General features: G+C 37.5%; 1 protein-coding gene across 24 annotated transcripts in view, besides 1 other annotated feature; it reads left to right on the plus strand.

Moving 5' to 3' along the window:
• Nucleotides 1-20,128, plus strand: part of PTPN13 (protein tyrosine phosphatase non-receptor type 13) — a 220,847-nt gene that overhangs the window by 125,913 nt on the left and 74,806 nt on the right. For all 24 annotated transcript variants that reach the window (XM_011532165.3, NM_080685.3, XM_017008511.3 and 21 more), the window contains 6 exons: nt 1,985-2,207; nt 12,173-12,247; nt 12,365-12,539; nt 14,076-14,229; nt 14,510-14,648; nt 15,367-15,519. In XM_011532165.3, coding sequence (XP_011530467.1) covers nt 1,985-2,207; nt 12,173-12,247; nt 12,365-12,539; nt 14,076-14,229; nt 14,510-14,648; nt 15,367-15,519 — 919 coding nt within the window. The remainder of the gene's footprint in view (nt 1-1,984; nt 2,208-12,172; nt 12,248-12,364; nt 12,540-14,075; nt 14,230-14,509; nt 14,649-15,366; nt 15,520-20,128) is intronic.
• Nucleotides 10,303-10,802: an enhancer, noted in NCBI's record as "H3K4me1 hESC enhancer chr4:87651683-87652182 (GRCh37/hg19 assembly coordinates)". NCBI's record gives its function as "activates a minimal SCP1, AML or CMV promoter by ChIP-STARR-seq in primed H9 embryonic stem cells {active_cell/tissue: H9 hESC(primed)}" and the evidence as "EXISTENCE:reporter gene assay evidence [ECO:0000049][PMID:30033119]".

The following is a 20,128-nucleotide window of genomic DNA, read 5'->3' on the forward strand; positions in this document are numbered from 1 at the left end:
AGCGAAATTAAATCATTTTGGGAGCCTTATGTTAATTTTCTTGATAAGGAACCTCAAAAATGTCAAGGTTATGAGAGAATCCTAATTTTGATTGTTTCCAGATTTTATTCAAGGAAACATTAAGGCCGCCATATTTGTCAAATCTATGTTTAAGGGGTAAACTGTCTTTTTTTTCATACTTCATGGGGAGAAAAAGCCCATGTGGTATTCATAGCATCTGAGTTAGATATAGGTTTAGGTGAAAGAAAAATATTTCAGGAAGTAGATTGTTAGTTGTATGTATGTATTATCTAATGTTAAGTTGCTAAACTCTATTTCTTTTAACTAGTTCCATCTTTTTTCTGCCCACTTAAATACATATTAGCTTAAAATACTGTCCAAATTCCTATTCACTTGCAGAACACACTCTGATAATATCCCTAACATGCTGGTACGTAATCAGGAGTCTTGTTTTCTTCTTTAGGTCACACATTTGTAAAATCTATGAATAGTGCTGTATTTGTACATATTGCATGCTTCTTGACAAAAGTTTCTATTCCCTTTAGCTAGAATAAAATGGCAAAACAGATCCAGAGAGTGCTATTGATTTGTACCATAGTGGGATGGGGGGAGATTAACAGGAAATTATGAGTCAGATGCAGCAGAATGAGTAATTTTTTTATACTGAGCTATCAAAAGCGTCTTTCAGTGACCAAAAAGGGCATTCAAAGTAGTTTCCAAAGAGAATTTCTAAGCCTTTTTATGTACTAGCTTTTGAAGTAAGTTTATACGTAGTACATTCCCACTGCTTCTGTGCCTCTCTGCTTGTTGAGGTAACCTTTGTTTCTGACTCCAAACAGAGTTGTTTTTGTTTTTGATTTTTGTCTCAAACTTTGCAGTTTTTATAGAAGTTTTGGTTAGATATCATATTTGGAGAGATAACAATGATAATTATTTTGCTACCTTTTAGTAGCTCTGCTGTAAAATAATTTTAGCTAAAAGACTGTAATATTTTATGAAAATAACAGGTTTGAGTTTAAATGTGCAGATTCAAGGTCTTATTATTATCTTTGACCCTCCCCTTAAGTGAGAGAGGGCCATAAAATTACATTCAGTTATTGACTTTACAGGTAATCATTGAGCACCTGCCATGTACTAGGTGCTTTCAGATACTGGAGATAGAGTTGTGAACAACACAGAAAGTCCCTTGAGGGAAATGAGAAGTAGCCAATAAACCATGAAAAAGCAAGTAAATAATATACTGCCATATAATGATGGTGCCTTGAAGAAAAATAAGGCTACTTAAGGGGATAGGGAGAACGGGGAGTAATGTCCAAATTCTGTTTTATATAGGTAGTATGATCAGTTTCATTACTAGAACAAGAGGCTCCTAACACCCAAGAGACTTCAAGGGTTTTAGGAGCTCTTTGTCAGGAACTGGGGACAAAGATCATATATGTATTTCCTTCCCTTCCCCTCTCCCTCTCCCCCGCTCCCTCCCCCTCTCCCTCCCCCTCCCCTTCCCCCTTCCCCCTTCCCCTCTTTTCTCCTTTCCTCTCCTCTCTTCTGTCACCCAGGATGGAGTGCAGTAATACCATCCCAGCTCACTGCAGCCTCAACCCCCTTACCCCCAGGCTCAATCAATTCTACACCTCAGCCTCCTGAGTAGCCAGGACTACAGGTGTGTGCCACCATGGCCAGCTAATTTGTTGTATTTTTTTGTAGAGACAGGGTTTCACCATGTTGCCCAGGCTGGTCTCGAACTCCTGGACTCAAGCGATCCAACCGCCTTCACCTCCCAAAGTGCTGGGATTGCAGGCATGAGCCACCATGCCCAGCCTATATATTTCTTCATACCATACTGTGTAATGTAAAGATTCTTCTGAGATGGGAAAATAAAATTTGTTTAAACTCTTGCAACCTTACTTAAAATGAAATTTGCTTGATTAGCCTTAAAACAATTGTTTTCCTCCCAATCCTCACCTGTCTCCTCTTTTCTATATAGCAGACAATATGAAACACCCTTTGAAGGCAACTTAATTAATCAAGAGATCATGCTAAAACGGCAAGAGGAAGAACTGATGCAGCTACAAGCCAAAATGGCCCTTAGACAGTCTCGGTTGAGCCTATATCCAGGAGACACAATCAAAGCGTCCATGCTTGACATCACCAGGGATCCGTTAAGAGAAATTGCCCTAGAAACAGCCATGACTCAAAGAAAACTGAGGGTAAGTTGATTCTCAGGTTACTACACATCTAAACCTGCTCTCACAGGGAACTCTTGGGCAAAGTACTTTTAAAAATTGCTACAGGTATCCATCTAAAGTTACCTGTAGATGAAACTGAAATCCCATATTCATTTCCACTGGGATTAAATATCTTTTTGGTTGATTTTAAAATAAACATTTAGCTATTTTCATTATTTTATCTAAAAAATAACTTAGATGAATTTAGAGTGTCCTAACTATATACTTTAAAAGTATATTCATAATCCTTAAAGTTAACTAGCTATCTTCATTATTGTGGGGGATTATTTTTTCATATTAAGAAATTTATTATTCCATATATTGAGAAGATCAGACATGGAAAGTTCAAGGTTAATTCCAAAGTTCAAGAATGTTATCAAGTGCATTTCATCTTGCTGCTCTGTGATTCTCAGAATTTTAGTAATAATTCACTTTCTGGTTAAAAGAGGACTCCATTAGCTCCAAACATCATATCCTCACATTTACAGTATCCAAAGACAGGAAGGACCAAGTCTGTATCTTGTATCTTGTGGGTGGATATTTTTATGTATCTGTTCTTCTAGTTGATGTATTTTTCTTTCAACCTATGACAATATATTTTTATAAACATAAAATCAAAATGAACAGTTCTTTTCTCATGTAAAATATCTTAAATGTTTTACAACTTCTACATTATTGTTAGTGTTATAAAATACTTTATTATGTGACTTTACTGTGTACTGTAATTTCTTTAGTCAGTTCCAATTACTGGACATTTTAAATGTTTCTAATTAGCTGTTGAAAGTAATGCTCTAAAGCAGGGCTCCACAGGCCAGCATTGGTCCATGGCCTGGTCACAGCAGGAGGTGAGCAAGGAGCTAGCATTGCCACCTGAGCTCCACCTCCTGTCAGATCAGCAGCAGCACTAGATTCTCACAGGAGCATGAACCCTGTTGTGAACTGCGTTGCATGTTCCTTATGAGAATCTAATGCCTGATGATCTGAGGTGGAACAGTTTCATCCCAAAACCATCCCCTCCTACCTGTCTGTGGAAAAATTTTCTTCCACGGAACCTGTCCCTGGTGCCAAAAAGATCGGGGACCGCTGCTTTAATTAACATCCCTGCAGCTAACTCATTGCAGATAACTTTCTCCAAGTAAAATAGTCAATTCAAAGGCAGACACCGTTTAAGACATTTGATACGTATTGTCAAATTACCCTCCCAAAAGTTTGTGCCAGTTTTTGCTTCCTATGATCGTGCCTGTTTCTTCATATTCTTATGTATTCTGGATATTATCATTCTTTTTTACTATCATCAGCTTGAAAGGTGAAGCAATATTTCATTTGTAACATTAGTTTAAAATAATTCTTAAAAAGCAAAATAAATAATAGTAAACCTGGTAAAATCTAGAATGATTTTTTTCTTTTTAGTTCTGCACTAAGAAATTGTATTACCCTATACTGTTTTCATTTTCTGTTCTTTGCTTCAGAGAATTATCTTAAAAGCACATTTGTATGCTCTGAAGATAATAGAATTCAAATTTCCTTCACAGTATTCTAAGGAGAAAAAGCTGTTGGTTGGTGAAAATTGCATTGAACTACAAATTGGAAGACATGTATTCTATTCCTTATGATGCTGTTATATGACTTTATGTAAATTTTAAAACCTCTTTATTCCTCATTGTGCTAATTTTTAAAATGTGGAATTGGATTGTAGTTTATAAAACACTATCCAATTTTTAAAGTTTTTAGATTCCAATAAAATATAACTGAACATATTTCAGGTAAAAGGAAGAAACTCAATAGGGCTTCATCAATTCATTATTACCAATATCTACATCAAAACTAAGTAATAGGCAGGATGTCATACAATATAGTGTGGACTTCCAATATAATAATTCAGTGAACAGCACAAACTGCACGTACATATACACCCCTTTTTCCTAAACCACAGTTTTAGAGAGCTAAGCTAGACTTTGGTTCATTCACAATTCATAAATTATAGATCGTACCTTTATAGCATGCCACTGTGATATGTCATCTCGCTAAAAACCTGTTTCCTTTTTTAGGCAGTCAATTTCTAGCTATTTCAAACCAAACATTTCTTTGCCAGAGATATTTTGTGTCAGTGATTAGATAATTTGAACTACTGGTCATTAAAAGACTACCTAGTATTTTTTCTGAAAAGAGCTGGAGGTTATATTTTTGAGGCTGAAAAGGGTAATGGGGTTTGGAGGTACAGTTTGAATTAATATTCTTTCCCACAGCATAAATGTTTAGGATTTTTTTTTCTTTTGGTGCAGACACATCTTAACTTCTTCATACCCTGTTTCCATAGTTGATCTTTATTATATTCTGTGTTTCCCATGGCAGACCACTTTCATTCTTTTTTTTTTATTATTATACTTTAAGTTCTAGGGTACATGTGCACAACATGCAGGTTTGTTATGTAGGTAGACATGTGCCATGTTGGTTTGCTGCACCCATCAACTCATCATTTACATTAGGTGTTTCTCCTAATGCTATCCCTCCCCCAGCCCCCCACCCCCCAACAGAACTTGGTGTGTGATGTTTCCCGCCCCGTGTCCATGTGTTCTCATTGTTCATTTCCCACCTATGAGTGAGAACATGTGGTGTTTGGTTTTCTGTCCTTGTGATAGTTTGCTTAGAATGATGGTTTCCAGCTTCATCCATGTCTGTGCAAAGGACATGAACTCATCCTGTTTTATGGCTGCATAGTATTCCATGGTGTATATGTGCCACATTTTCTTTATTCAGTCTATCATCGATGGACATTTGGGTTGGTTTCATGTCTTCGCTATTGTGAACAGTGCTGCAATAAACATACATGTGCATGTGTCTTTATGGTAGCGTGATTTATAATCCTTTGGGTATATACCCAGTAATAGGATCGCTGGGTCAAATGGTGTTTCTAGTTCTAGATTCTTGAGTAATCGCCACACTGTCTTCCACAAAGGTTGAACTACTTTACGCTCCCACCAACAGTGTAAAAGCGTTCCTATTTCTCCACATCCTCTCCAGCATCTGTTGTTTCCTGACTTTTTAATGATTGCTTTTCTAACTGGCATGAGATGGTATCTCATTGTGGTTTTGATTTGCATTTCTCTGATGACCAGTGATGATGAGCATTTTTTCATGTGTCTGTTGGCTGCATAAATGTCTTCTTTTGAGAAGTGTCTGTTCATATCCTTTGCCTGTTTTTCAGTGGGGTTGTTTGTTTGTTTCTTGTAAATTTGTTGAAGTTCTTTGTAGATTCTGGATATTAGCCTTTTGTCAGATGGGTAGATTGCAAAAATTTTCTCCCATTCTGTAGGTTGCCTGTTCACGCTGATGGTAGTTTCTTTTGCCATACAGACACTCTTTAGTTTAATTAGATACTGTTTGTCTATTTTGGCTTTCGTTGCCATTGCTTTTGGTGTGTTAGTCATGAAGTCCTTACCCATCCCCATGTCCTGAATGGTATTGCCTAGGTTTTCTTCTAGGATTTTTATGGCTTTAGGTCTAACATTTAAGTCCTTAATCCATTGTGAATTAATTTTTGTATAAGGTGGAAGGAAGGGATCCAGTTTCAGTTTTCTACATATGGCTAGCCAGTTTTCCCAGCACCATGTATTAAATAGGGAATCCTTTCTACATTTCTTGTTTTTGTCAGGTTTGTCAAAGATCAGTTGGTTGTAGATGTGTGGTGTTATTTCTGAGGCCTCTGTTCTGTTCCATTGGTCTATATCTCTGTTTTGGTACCAGTACCATGCTGTTTTGGTTACTGTAGACTTGTAGTATAGTTTGAAGTCAGGTAGCATGATGCCTCCAGCTTTGCTCTTTTTGCTTAGGATTGTCTTGGCTATGTGGGCTCTTTTTTGGTTCCATATGAACTTTAAAGTAGTTTTTTCTTATTCTGGGAAGAAAGTCATTGGTAGTCTGATGGGGATGGTATTGAATCTATAAATTACTTTGGGCAGTATGGCCATTTTCATGATATTGATTCCTCCTATCCGTGAGCATGGAATTTTCTTCCATTTGTGTGTGTCTTTTATTTCGTTGAACAGTGGTTTGTAGTTCTGCTTGAAGAGGTCCTTTATATCCCTTGTAAGTTGAATTCCTAGGTATTTTATTTTCTTTGTAGTAATTGTGAATGGGAATTCACTCATGATTTGGCTGTTTGTCTGTTATTGGTGTAGAGAAATGTTTGTGATTTTTACACATTGATTTTGTATCCTGACACTTTGCTGAAGTTGCTTATCAGCTTAAGGAGATTCGGGGCTGAGACGATGGGGTTTTCTAAATATACAATTATGTCATCTGCAAACAGGGACAATTTGACTTCCTCTTTTCCTAATTGAATACCCTTTATTTCTTTCTCTTGCCTGATTGCCCTAACCAGAACTTCCAACACTATGTTGAATAGGAGTGGTGAGAGAGGGCATCCTTGTCTTGTGCTGGATTTCAAAGGGAATGCTTCCAGTTTTTGTCCATTTAGTATGATATTGGCTGTGGGTTTGTCGTAAATAGCATTTATTATTTTGAAGTAAGTTCCACCAATACCTAGTTTATTGAGAGTTTTTAGCATGAAGGGCTGTTTAATTGTGTTAAAGGCCTTTTCTGCATCTATTGAGATAATCATGTGGTTTTTGTAGTTGTTTCTGTTTATGTGTTGAATTACATTTATTGATTTGCCTATGTTGAACCAGCCTTGCATGCCAGGGATGAAGCCCACTTGATCCTGGTGGATAAGCTTTTTGGTGTGCTGCTGGATTTGGTTTGCTAGTATTTTATTGAGGATTTTCACATTGATGTTCATCAGGGATATTGGTCTAAAATTCTCTGTTTTTGTTGTGTCTCTGCCACACTTTGGTATCAGGACAATGCTGGCCTCATAAAATGAGTTAGGGAGGATTCCCTCTTTTTCTATTCATTGGAATAGTTTCAGAAGGAATGGTACCAGCTCCTCTTTGTACCTCTGGTAGAATTCGGCTGTCAGTCTCTCTGGTCTTGGACTTTTTTTGGTTGGTAGGCTATTAATTATTGCCTCAATTTCAGAGCCTGTTATTGGTCTAATCAGAGATTTGACTTCTTCATGGTTTAGTCTTGGGAGGGTGTATGTGTCCAGGAATTCATCCATTTCTTCTAGATTTTCTAGTTTATTTGCATAGAGGTGTTTATAGTATTCTCTGATGGTAGTTTGTATTTCTGTGGGATCGATGTTGATATCCCCTTTATCGTTTTTTATTGTGTCTATTTGATTCTTCTCTCTTTTCTTCTTTATTAGTCTTGCTAGCAGTACATCAATTTTGTTGATCTTTTCAAAAAACCAGCTCCTAAATTCATTGATTTTTTTGAAGGGTTTTTTCTGTCTCTATCTCCTTCAGTTCTGCTCTGATCTTAGTTATTTCTTGCCTTTTGCTAGCTTTTGAATTTGTTTGCTCTTGCTTCTCTAGTTCTTTTAATTGTGATGTTAGGGTGTTGATTTTATATCTTTCCTGCTTTCTCTTGTGGGCATTTAGTGCTATAAATTTCCCTCTACACACTGCTTTGAATGTGTCCCAGAGATTCTGGTATGTTGTGTCTTCGTTCTCATTGGTTTCAAAGAACATCTTTATTTCTGCCTTCATTTTGTTATATACCCAGTAGTCATTCAGGAGAAGGTTGTTCAGTTTCCATGCAGTTGTGCAGTTTTGAGTAAGTTTCTTAATCCCGAGCTCTAATTTGATTGCACTGTAGTCTGAGAGACCGTTTGTTGTGATTTCTGTTCTTTTACATTTGCTGAGTAGTGTTTTACTTCCAATTATGTGGTCAATTTTAGAATAAGTGTGATGTGGTGCTGAGAAGAATGTACATTCTGTTGATTTGGGGTGGTGAGTTCTGGATATGTCTATTAGGTCCACTTGTTGCAGAGCTGAGTTTAAGTCCTGGATATCCTTCTTAACCTTCTGTCTCCTTATCTGTCTAATACTGACAATGGAGTGTTAAAGTCTCCCATTATTATTGTGTGGGAGTCTAAGTCTCTTTGTAGGTCTCTAAGGACTTCCTTTATGAATCTGGGTGCTCCTGTATTGGGTGCATATATATTTAGGATAGTTAGCTCTTCTTGTTGAATTGATCCCTTTACCATTATGTAATGGCCTTCTTTGTCTCTTTTGATCTTTGTTGGTTTACAGTTTGTTTCATCAGAGACTAGGATTGCAACCCCTGCCTTTTTTTTTTTTTTTTTTTTTTTTTTTTTTTTTTGCTTTCCATTTGCTTGGTAGATCTTCCTATGTCCCTTTATTTTGAGCCTATGTGTTTCTCTGCACGTGAGATGGGTCTCCTGAATACAGCACACTGATGAGTCTTGACTCTTTATCCAATTTGCCAGTTTGTGTCTTTTAATTGGGGCATTTAGCCCATTTACATTTAAGGTTAACATTGTTATGTGTGAATTTGATCCTGTCATTATGATGTTATCTGGTTATTTTGCCTATTAATTGAGGCAGTTTCTTCCTAGCATCGATGGTCTTTACAATTTGGCATGTTTTTGCAGTGGCTGGTACTGGTTGTTCCTATCCATGTTTAGTGCTTCCTTCAGGAATTTTTGTAAGGCAGGCCTGATGGTGACAAAATCTGTCAGCATTTGCTTGTCTGTAAAGGATTTTATTTCCCCTTCACTTATGAAGCTTAGTTTGGCTGGATGTGAAATTATGGGTTGAAAATTATTTCTTTAAGAATGTTGAATATTGGCCCCCACTCTCTTCTGGCTTGTAGGGTTTCTGCCGAGAGATCGCTGTTAGTCTGATGGGCTTCCCTTTGTGGGTAACCCGACCTTTCTCTCTGGCTGCCCTTACCATTTTTTCCTTCATTTCAACCTTGGTGAATCTGACAATTATGTGTCTTGGGATTGTTCTTCTCAAGGAGTATCTTTGTGGTGTTCTCTTTATTTCCTGAATTTGAATGTTGACCTGCCTTTCTAGGTTGGAGAAGTTCTCCTGGATAATATCCTGCAGAGTGTTTTCCAACTTGATTCCATTTTCCCTGTCACTGTCAGGTACACCAATCAGATATAGATTTGGTCTTTTCACATATTCCGTGTTTCTTGGAGGCTTTGTTCGTTTCTTTTTACTATTTTTTCTCTAATCTTGTCTTCTCGCTTTATTTCATTAATTTGATCTTCAATCAGTGATACCCTTTCTTCCACTTGATCAAATCAGCTATTGAAACTTGTGCATGTGTCACAAAGTTCTTGTGCCATGGTTTTCTGCTCCATCAGGTCATTTAAGGTCTTCTCTACACTGTTTATTCTAGTTAGCCATTCCTCTAACCTTTTTGCAAGGTTTTTAGCTTCCTTGTGATGGGTTTGAACATGCTCCTTTAGCTCAGAGAAGTTTATTATTACCGACCTTCTGAAGCCTACTTCTGTCAACTTGCCAAAGTCATTCTCTGTCCAGCTTTGTTCGTTTGCTGGTGAGGAGCTGCAGTCCTTTGGAGGAGAAGAAGCACTCTGGTTTTTAGAATTTTCAGCTTTTCTGCTCTGTGGTTTTATTTACCTTTGGTCTTTGATGTTGGTGACCTACAGATGGGGTTTGGTGTAGATGTCCTTTTTGTTGATGTTGATGGTATTCCTTTCTGTTTGTTAATTTTTCTTCTAATAGTCAGATCCCTCAGCTGCAGGTCTGTTGGAGTTTGCTGGAGGTCCACTCCAGACCCTGTTTGCCTGGGTATCACCAGTGGATGCTGCAGAACAGCAAATATTGCTGCCTGATCTTTCCTCTGGAAGTTTTATCCCAGAGGGGCACCCAACCGTATGAGGTGTCTGTCAGCCTCTACTGGGAGGTGTCTCCCAGTTAGGCTACAGGGGTCATGGACCCATTCTCAGAGCTCAAACGCCATGCTGGGAGAACCACTGCTCTCTTCAGAGCTGTCAGACAGGGACATTTAAGTCTGCAGAAGTTTCTGCTTCCTTTTGTTCAGCTATGCCCTGGCCACAGAGGTGGAGTCTGTAGAGGAAGCAGGCCTTGCTGAGCTGCGGTGGGCTCCACCCACTTCGAGGTTCCCAGCCGTTTTGTTTACCTACTCAAGCCTCAGCAATGGCAGACATCCCTCCCCCGACCAGGCTGCAGCCTCGGAAGTTGATCTCAGATTGCTGCGCTAGCAGTGAGCAAGGCTTCGTGGGTGTGGGACCTGCTGAGCCAGGAACGGGAGAAAATCTGGTCTGCCACTTGCTAAGACTGTGAGAAAAGTGCAGTATTTGGGCGGGAGTGTTCCGTTTTTCCAGGTACAGTTTGTCTCAGCTTCCCTTGGCTAGGAAAGGGAAATCCCTCTATCCCTTGGGCTTCCTGGGTGAGGTGATGCCCCGTCCGGCTTCAGCTCATCCTCCGATTGCTGCACCCACTGTCCAACCAGTCCCTGTGAGATGAACCAGGTACCTCAGTTGGAAATGCAGAAATCACCCGTCTTCTGTGTCGATCACACTGGGAGCTGCAGACTGGAGCTGTTCCTATTCGGCTATCTTCCACTTTCATTCTTTCTACTCTATTTCTATTCTTGTTTAAAATGTGTCCTATTGGTTCATTGAATATTAATAAACCCCTTATGTTGAACTTTTACTTTTACATAAATGGTATCTGTCACATGTTACACACTCAATTAAATTGAATAGAATTCCTACACCAAGCAATCAGTGAGCTGTACAACCAAATGCAAAGAAGAAACCAACAAAAATAAAACTCTGGTAACATTCATTAGTTCAAGCACACACCTACACATACACACAGACCACTTGCTTCTGGCCTCAAGATTAGCTCTGGTTTCATTCTACCTTTTGCCCATTAAGATATGATCTTTCAGTCTTTTCTCAACCCTTCTCCCACTCAGAGTCTAACTTGTTTTAAGTTGTCTCCTAAACTAGTTCTCCCTCTTAGCCAAAACCCCAGAATATACAAAAGGAGAAAAGGGAAATCATAGATTGAGAAGCACTAAATACAGAGTTTGCACTCTACTTTCCCCATCTCATGGGTCCTTTATTTCCTGAAATATTTTCTTGCTGGGGACATTGGCAGGGGTCAGAGACTATGTGACTGATACTATCCCTAGTTGCCACTATTTAAAACGAAAAGTACAGTGTCATAGGGTTCCAAGATAGTGATTACAGGTGGATATATACATATAGGCACAAAGTAGATGTCTTTTAACTATGACCAATTTTTTTGTTTTTGTCTGTTTGCTTTTAATTTTTTTTAGAGGTAGGGTCTTACTTTGTTGGTGAGGCTGGAGTGTAGTGGTGTGATTATAGCTCACAGCAGCCTGGAACTCATGGGCACAAGTTATCCTCTGGCCTCAGCCCTCTAAGCAGCTGAACTACAGGTATGCACCACAGTGCCCAGCTAATTTTTTATTTTTTGTAGAAACAGGGTCTAACTATGTTGCCCAGGTTGGTCTGAAACTCCTGGCCTCAAGCGATCCTCCTGCCTTAGCCTCCCAAGGCATTGGGATTAGTTGTGAGCCAGCACACATACCCTACGATCTGTTTTAGGCTGAATGTCGCTTTCTAAGACAATGAGATTCTGTTCAATCACTTCATGCATTAGCAATATTAAACCAAATACTTATATGAGCTTTATAACTCTATATTACTTCTTCAAGACCTTTTTTTTGAGTCTGAGTCTATCTGGATGCCAAATAGTGAAAACCCTGTAAAACAGTGTAAAAGTGAGGCATTATGTTTGACATCAATAGTAGAAAACAAAGATGGGGAACAACTTGTTTCAACTTAATGTAAGGCATACTCCATTTCTGTTATTGGTAAATTCCAGTATACCTCTTCATGAAAGCTTCAACGTTTGTTTTAGATCACCTAGTTCTAATGTGGTGATTTTGTAGTTTCATATGTAATTTATTATTCTTACATTATTTTTCCTTTCAAGGAAAAAACTAGAATAAATAGTAAAAAATATTGATTCTGCTTATGTGATTTGCAGAATTTCTTTGGCCCTGAGTTTGTGAAAATGACAATTGAACCATTTATATCTTTGGATTTGCCACGGTCTATTCTTGTAAGTAATAAAACCAATTTGTGTCACTCTTAGAAAATAATTTCAGTAGTGTTAAAAACCAGTTAAAATTCTTATAATGCTTATTTTAATAAATGCCGTTTATTTTTTCAATTGTAGACTAAGAAAGGGAAGAATGAGGATAACCGAAGGAAAGTAAACATAATGCTTCTGAACGGGCAAAGACTGGAACTGACCTGTGATACCAAAACTATATGTAAAGATGTGTTTGATATGGTTGTGGCACATATTGGCTTAGTAGAGCATCATTTGTTTGCTTTAGCTACCCTCAAAGGTACCAAGACATTTTATATTCAGAGTACAGTATAGAAATTTAGCAACAAGCAGACTTCCTATGTTTGTTACCATGCCTGACCTCATTTTGACAATTAGTAACTAAATGAACTAGTCAGTAGAAGTGAGTTAGGAACTCCCTTTCTTCTCCCAGCTACTTTCATTGTTTTAATAGTTATGTTTGTTAGGCACCTTCTGTATCTGACTGGGAAGATTTTTTTATTTTTTGCTATGGTTATATAAAAATATATTTTAATTATATTTTAGGGACCGTTTTATATGTTAATGGTCTACATGTGTACTCTAGAAATTAGTATCCTAATATGAGCCTGAATGTATAGCAAGACCTTATTTCTGAATTTCCACATCAGTTTATTTAGTCTACTATCCTAAAATCACAGTGACTTTTTAAAATGTCAATTGAAGGCTAAAAATTAGTTATTTCACATTATCTTTTAAATATTGTATCCACTTAAACCCATGATGTTCACAACCACAGTGGTCTAAGACACAGCTTCAGTAGAAACTTCTCCTATTTATCAATTAGAGTTGCCATAGCAGTAAGAAACTTTTTGGAATTCATCTCCTTTTTAAATAAATCATTATATTTATAAATTACTCTTTAATATTTCAGATTCCTGTTTACCTCAAAATTTAACTTGGAAAGTTTAGGCAACAAAGTACTATAAATGACAATTGACAGGTTAAAGGATCCTAAAACTCTATAAGCTCTTAATATCTTCTGTATCCTAAAAGAAATATTTCCCTCAATATAGCTTATTGAATTATTGTGCCTTAAAAATGAATAATTTATGCTGTAGACTCATACAATAAATAGTCAATTAGTACCTACTGATGTTCTATCACTTTACTAGTTTCACTTTTAGACTAATCAGTCAATATTGTCTACATGAAGCTGATTCAGTTCATCCAAATATCTATTTATACTATACCTAATTTCTTACAGATTCTGGTAAAATCAAATTGTATTGAATAATTCTTTTATTTGTAGAGAGTAAATAATAGTTAACTAATGACATTAAAAAATAAAATGATAAATGTCATTCCTTCTAGGTTTCAGCTGGTAGCTCAATAATAATAAGTATACTAGCTAATATTTATTAAATGTTTACCGTGTACTGTGTGCTTTAACAAGTGTTTTTATTCATTATGTCATTTGATCCTTATAACAATGCTGTAAAGCAAGAATTCCCACTAGCCTGATCTTAAAGCCAAGAAAACTGATGTCTAGAGAGGTAAAATAATATATTCAGTGTCATACGGATAGTAAATGTTGTGACCAGGTGTTGAATCTAGGACTGTATGTCTTTAGAGCCGCCATTCTTAAAAGAGTGGGCCATATTGCCTCCCATCTAAATGGAGTGTCTCAGAGCTCCCTGCCACATTTTTAACAGTCTTGTATTTATATTCTCATATGATACTCTTTTATGCAAGTCTGACCAAAAAGTGAAGAAATCGGAAGAAAACACTAAAGTATTTTTTTATTTTATCTGAATATTTTTCTCATTCTGTTTAGATAATGAATATTTCTTTGTTGATCCTGACTTAAAATTAACCAAAGTGGCCCCAGAGGGATGGAAAGAAGAACCAAAGAAAAAGACCAAAGCCACTGTTAATTTTACTTTGTTTTTCAGAATTAAATTTTTTATGGATGATGTTAGTCTAATACAGTGAGTACACAAGAGTTTCTCTTTTGCTCTTTTTGGACACTGGTCTTTTGACCCTTTAGCTTACTGATACTGAATTACTTGATTCCAATCAATGATAATGTCTGCTTTATCATAAAAGTAATATTTCTTTCAACACAGTTTATCTAATCCTTATGCCTTAAAAGCTTAATAATAAGCTTAGTAATAAACTCATGGAAATTAACCTTACATGCCTATAATAAAAACCACCCCAGTATTCAAAATCAAAGGCCAAGATGTCTGTGTGTGTTTGTTTTTTCAGACATACTCTGACGTGTCATCAGTATTACCTTCAGCTTCGAAAAGATATTTTGGAGGAAAGGATGCACTGTGATGATGAGACTTCCTTATTGCTGGCATCCTTGGCTCTCCAGGCTGAGTATGGAGATTATCAACCAGAGGTAGGATTTGTGTTTTTTTCCAGGACCATTTTTGTTTGGTGTTGTTACCTTTAACATAGTTAATGACTAAACCTGATTCAGGTGTTTGATGTTTAGATCTGAAGATTTTTGAGGCTTCTTTGGTTCCTCAGAATGACCAAGCACTCCATGTATATCAATTATATAAAATCATGAAGTGTGGGATTTTTTTTTCCTGTTTAAAGTTATCCTGTTTTGGAGTTTAGGAATATCTACCACTTACTCCTTCTCCTGAGTTCTAACCTATAGAGACTATACACAGGAGTTATTAGTCAAATATAAATTAAAAGGATCTCCTGCCTTCCACATGATGGGCTGGCAGCCTGGCAGAGCTTACTGTGTGGAGAACTCACAGTATACTTAAAGCCTGATGTTTCTAAATAAAATTGATCTAAGAGGAAGCAAGGGGCTAGAAGCTGTGCTGCTGGAGCAGCATCCTTCACAACGTTCATCCTAAACTAGAGTGATATGAGGCCCTTGAATGTCACACTTCTCAAGCTTGCTGATCAGTTCAGTCATTTTATCTCACTGAATAGAAAAGAAAGACTGATGCATTTCTTCTAAAACTCATTCCTCAGAGAGAGAGGTAGAAATAGAAGTACTTCATCTCTTAGCCAAAGCAAGAACTTTAAGATAGAAGGAAAAGGGTTTACTCCAATAAAAGGCAAACAATTGCTTATGAAAACATTCTTTTATCTAGGTTCATGGTGTGTCTTACTTTAGAATGGAGCACTATTTGCCCGCCAGAGTGATGGAGAAACTTGATTTATCCTATATCAAAGAAGAGTTACCCAAATTGCATAATACCTATGTGGGAGCTTCTGAAAAAGAGACAGAGTTAGAATTTTTAAAGGTAAGCATCCAAGATTACAAATGATAAGCTTTGTATCTTTTCCAAGTAAGCAAGAAGTGTTAGAGGACACATATCTAAGAGTTCAAGTGCCAGTAACTGATACTGTGCATAATCTCATCTCATTGCTGGCTAAAATTATGGTATTTTAATTCTCATTTTGTAAAAGAGGGAAATGAGGCTCAAAGAGGAAATGTAATGTTCCCAGAGATATGGGGCAGATATGATTTGAACCCATGTCTATCTGGCTGTTAATCCTATGCTTTTATCTTATTCCATACTCAAAATCAAAATACATTATACAGAAGAAACAAATGAATTTGGTGAATGGCTTGATATGAGAGGCAAGTTCATACTGATTCTAGAATTGTTTGTTTTGCTTTTTCTCAAAAGGCTTAAAATTCAATTACATCCTTTAAAAATGGTCTTCCCACTAAATGCCAATTAATGTAGATAGGGGTAGAGAGTCACAAAAATTGACTTATTAGTTTACAGTTCTATTAGTTCTACAGTCTATTAGACCTATAACCAGCTTTCTATATGACCTTAGATAAATAGTACATTTACGATCAAGAAAAATAGTATTATGTAAACTTCCAATGCAAATAGCAAATATAAGATAGTGTTCTGTTGAAAAGACAAATTTTCAGAACATTCTTCTGTTTTAGCTTCCTAGGATGTAACAGTATGCCTTCCATTCACTGCTGCATATAGAAAGAAATCAAGTTTACCAGCCCTGTGAAAATTTATGAAGGGATTTTATTCACAGACTTACATTACCTTTAATCTAGTGTTCATGGAAAGAAAGAAAGGCAAGGTGGTTTTTTCTGTTTGAGTCCAAATTTAAAGATATTAAATTATGGACTTATACTTTTCTTAGTTATTACATTTTTATACTTGTAGAAAGTAAGATGTTACATTATAATTTTATTAATAAAGGTAGAAGGCAGATTGGCACAGTGAAAAGAATTTGCATGAGGATTTGCAGACAGACAGTCTTGCATTTGAATTCTTATTTCAACTAGCTGAGTGACCTTGAACAATGTGTTTAACTTCTCTAAGTCTCAGTTTTCTCCTTGTAAATAGCATGCCTAAGGAATATTAGGTTGCCCTACTCCTTCTAATAATATATTCTGTTACTTCATTTCACTTTAACTTTAGCATCTTTCTTCTAACTTAAGAAGTTTTATCTTGTTAACACAACCTTCTAAGGCTACACTTTTGCTATATATTATGTTGTTTTTGAAATATCTTTCGTAAATCTGCTTTATTGCAGTATAATTTACATACAATAAAATTTACCATTTTTAAGTGTTTGGTGAGTTTTTAAAATATATGTGCAGTTGAGCTGGGCATAGTTAGGGATGCATGCCTGTAATCCCAGCTGGTTGGGAGGCTGATGTAGGATCACTTGAGCCTGGGAGTTTGAGGCTGCAGTAAGCTTTGATCTTGTCACTGGGTTCCAGCCTAAGTAACAGAACAAGACCCCATCTCAAATAAAATAAAATAAAATATAAAATAAAATAAAATAAAAGTAAAAAATTAGTATAATAAAATATAAAAATATGTATACAGTTCAGCAATCACCTCCACAGTCTTGAGAACAAGGGTTAGCAAACTGTGGCCTGCCTGTTTTGTAAATAGTTTTATTGGAACTAGTCCATACTCATTTCTTTATATATCATCTATGTCTGCATTCATACTATAACAGCAAAGTCCAGTCATAACAATAAAGATCATATGACCCACAAAGCCTGAAATATTTACTATCTGGCCCTTTACAGAAAAGTTTACCAACTCCTGATACAGCACATTTCGAATACATAAAGCTCCCTCTTGTCTCTTTATAGTCAGTCCCCTCCCCCTACCTGTAATCCTTAGCAACTACTGATCTGCTATTACCATAGTGTTTTTTTTTTTCTAAAATGTCATGTAAAAAATAATATAATATACAGTCTTTTATGTCTGGCTTCTTTCACTTAGAATAATACTTTTTTTTGTTTCTGAGACAGAGTCTCACTCTGTTGCCAGGTAGGAGTGCAGTGGCATGATCTCGGCTCACTGCAACCTCTGCCTCCCGGGTTCAAACATTCTCCTGCCTCAGCCTCTCAAGTAGCTGGGACTACAGGCACATGCCACCACGCCTGGCTAATTTTTTATATTTTTAGCAGAGACATGGTTTCACCATGTTAGCCAGGATGGTCTCGATCTCTTGACCTTGTGATCCGCCCACCTTGGCCTCCCAAAGTGCTGGGATACAGGTGTGAGCTACTGTGCCTGGCCTAGAATAATACTTTTAAGATTCATCCATGGTGTGGTATATATCAGTAGTTTCTTTTCTTTTTTTTTTCTGAGTAGTTTTTCTTTGTGCAGATACATAATTTGCTTATTCTTTTCATTAGTTGATAGATATAAAGCTGTTATAAACATTCCAGTTCACATTTTTCTGTGAACACAGTTTTTATTTCTCCTGAGTAAATATCTAGCAGTAGGATTGCTGGGACCTATGGCAAGTGCATGTTTAACTTTGTAAGAAACTTCCAAACTGTTTTCCAAAATCATTGTACAGTTTTACAGTCCTACCAACAGTGTGTGAATTTCAGTTGCTCCACATCCTTGACAACACTTGGTAGTTTCAGTCTTTTTCACTTTAACATTTGAAATAGGTGAATAGTGGTATATTATTATGGTTTTAATTTGTACTTCCCTCATTACTATTTATGTTGACCAATCTTTTCATGTGTTTATTTGCCATTTATATATCATCTTTATTGATGTGTCAAATAAAACTTTTTACCCCCTTTTGTAACTGGTTATATGTTTCCTTACTGTTAAGAAGTACATGTTCTTTAAATATTCTGGATACAAGTCTTTTATCAGATATGTGGGTTTTACATATATTTATTTACTCCTAGTCTGTGGCTTGCCTTACATTTTCTTAACATTGACTCTTTTTTTTAAGAGTCTCACTCTGTTGCCCAGGCTGGAATTCAGTGGTGCGATCTTGGCTCACTGCAGCCTCCACCTCCCAGGCTCAAGTGATGCTTCTTCCTCAGCCTCCTGAGTAGCTGGGATTATAGATGTGCACCACCATACCTGGCTAATTTTTGTATTTTTCATAGGGACAGGATTTTGTCATGATGGCCAGGCTGGTCTCAAACTCCTAGCCTGAAGTAATCTGCCTGCCTTGGCCTCCCAAAGTGCTGAGATTACAGGCATAAGCCACTGTGCCAGCCAACATTAACTCTTGATGAGCAAGTTTTCAATGTTAATGAAGTTTCCAATTTTTTTTATTTTCTAGTTTATGGTTTTTGTGTTCCATCTAAGAAATTTTTGCCCAACCCAGGGTCACAGACACCTTCTAAGTTTTATGCTTTTAGTGCCTGTATTTAGGTCTGTGGTCCATTTTTGGTTAAATTTCATGTGTAGGGTGAAGTAAGGGTTGAAATTCATTTTTTTAGCATGTGGATATACAGTTGTCCCAGTAACCTTTGTTTAAAAGATTATCCTTTCCACATTAAACTACATTGATATAGTGTGTTAGTCCTTTGTCACACTGCTGATAAAGACATATACCCGAGACTGGGCAATTTACAAAAGAAACAGGTTTAATGGACTTATAGTTCCATGTGGCTGGGGAGGCCTCACAATCACGGTGGAAGGTCTCACATGGCAGCAGACAAGAGAAGAGAGCTTGTACAGGGAAACTCCCCTCCTTAAAACCATCAGATCTCGTGAGACTTACTCACTATCATGAGAACAGCATGGGAAAGACCTGTCCCCATGATTCACTTACCTCCCACTGGGTCCCTCCTTCAACATGTGGAAATTCAAGATGAGATTTGGGTGAGGACACAGCCAAACCATATTCCACTTCTGGCCCCTCCCAAATCTCATGTCCTCACATTTCAAAACCAATCATGCCTTCCCAACAGTTCTCCAAAGTCTTAATTCATTTCAGCATTAACCCAAAAGTCCACAGTCCAAAGTCTCATCTGAGATAAGGCAAGTCCCTTCTGCCTATGAGCCTGCAAAATCAAAAGCAAGTTAGTTACTTCCTAGGTACAATGGGGGTTACAGGCATTGGGTAAATACAGCCATTCCAAATGGGAGAAATTAGCCAAAACAAAGGGGCTATACAGGTCCCACGCAAGTCTGAAATCCAGCAGGGCAGGCAAACCTTAAAGCTGCAAAATGATCTCCTTTGACTGCATGTCTCACATCCGGGTCAAGCTGATGCAAGAGGTGGGCTCCCAAGGTCTTGGGCAGCTCTGCCCCTGTGTCTTTGTAGGGTATAGACCCCTCCTGGCTGGTTTCATGGGCTGGTGTTGAGTATCTGTGGCTTTTCCAGGTGCATGGTGCAAGCTGTCGTTGGATCTACCATTCTGGGGTCTGGAGGACAGTGGCCCTCTTCTCACAGCTCCACTAAGTGGTGCTCCAGTTGGCACTCTGTGTGCAGGCTCCAACCCCACATTTCCCTTCCCTACTGCCCTATCACAGGTTCTCCATTAGGGCCCTGCCCCTGCAGCAAACTTCTCCCTGGGATCCAGGCATTTCCATACATCCTCTGAAATCTAGGCGAAGGTTCCCAGACCTCAGTTCTTGACTTCTC

This window comes from Homo sapiens, chromosome 4, assembly GCF_000001405.40.
Source record: "Homo sapiens chromosome 4, GRCh38.p14 Primary Assembly".
Classification (NCBI taxonomy): domain Eukaryota; kingdom Metazoa; phylum Chordata; class Mammalia; order Primates; family Hominidae; genus Homo; species Homo sapiens.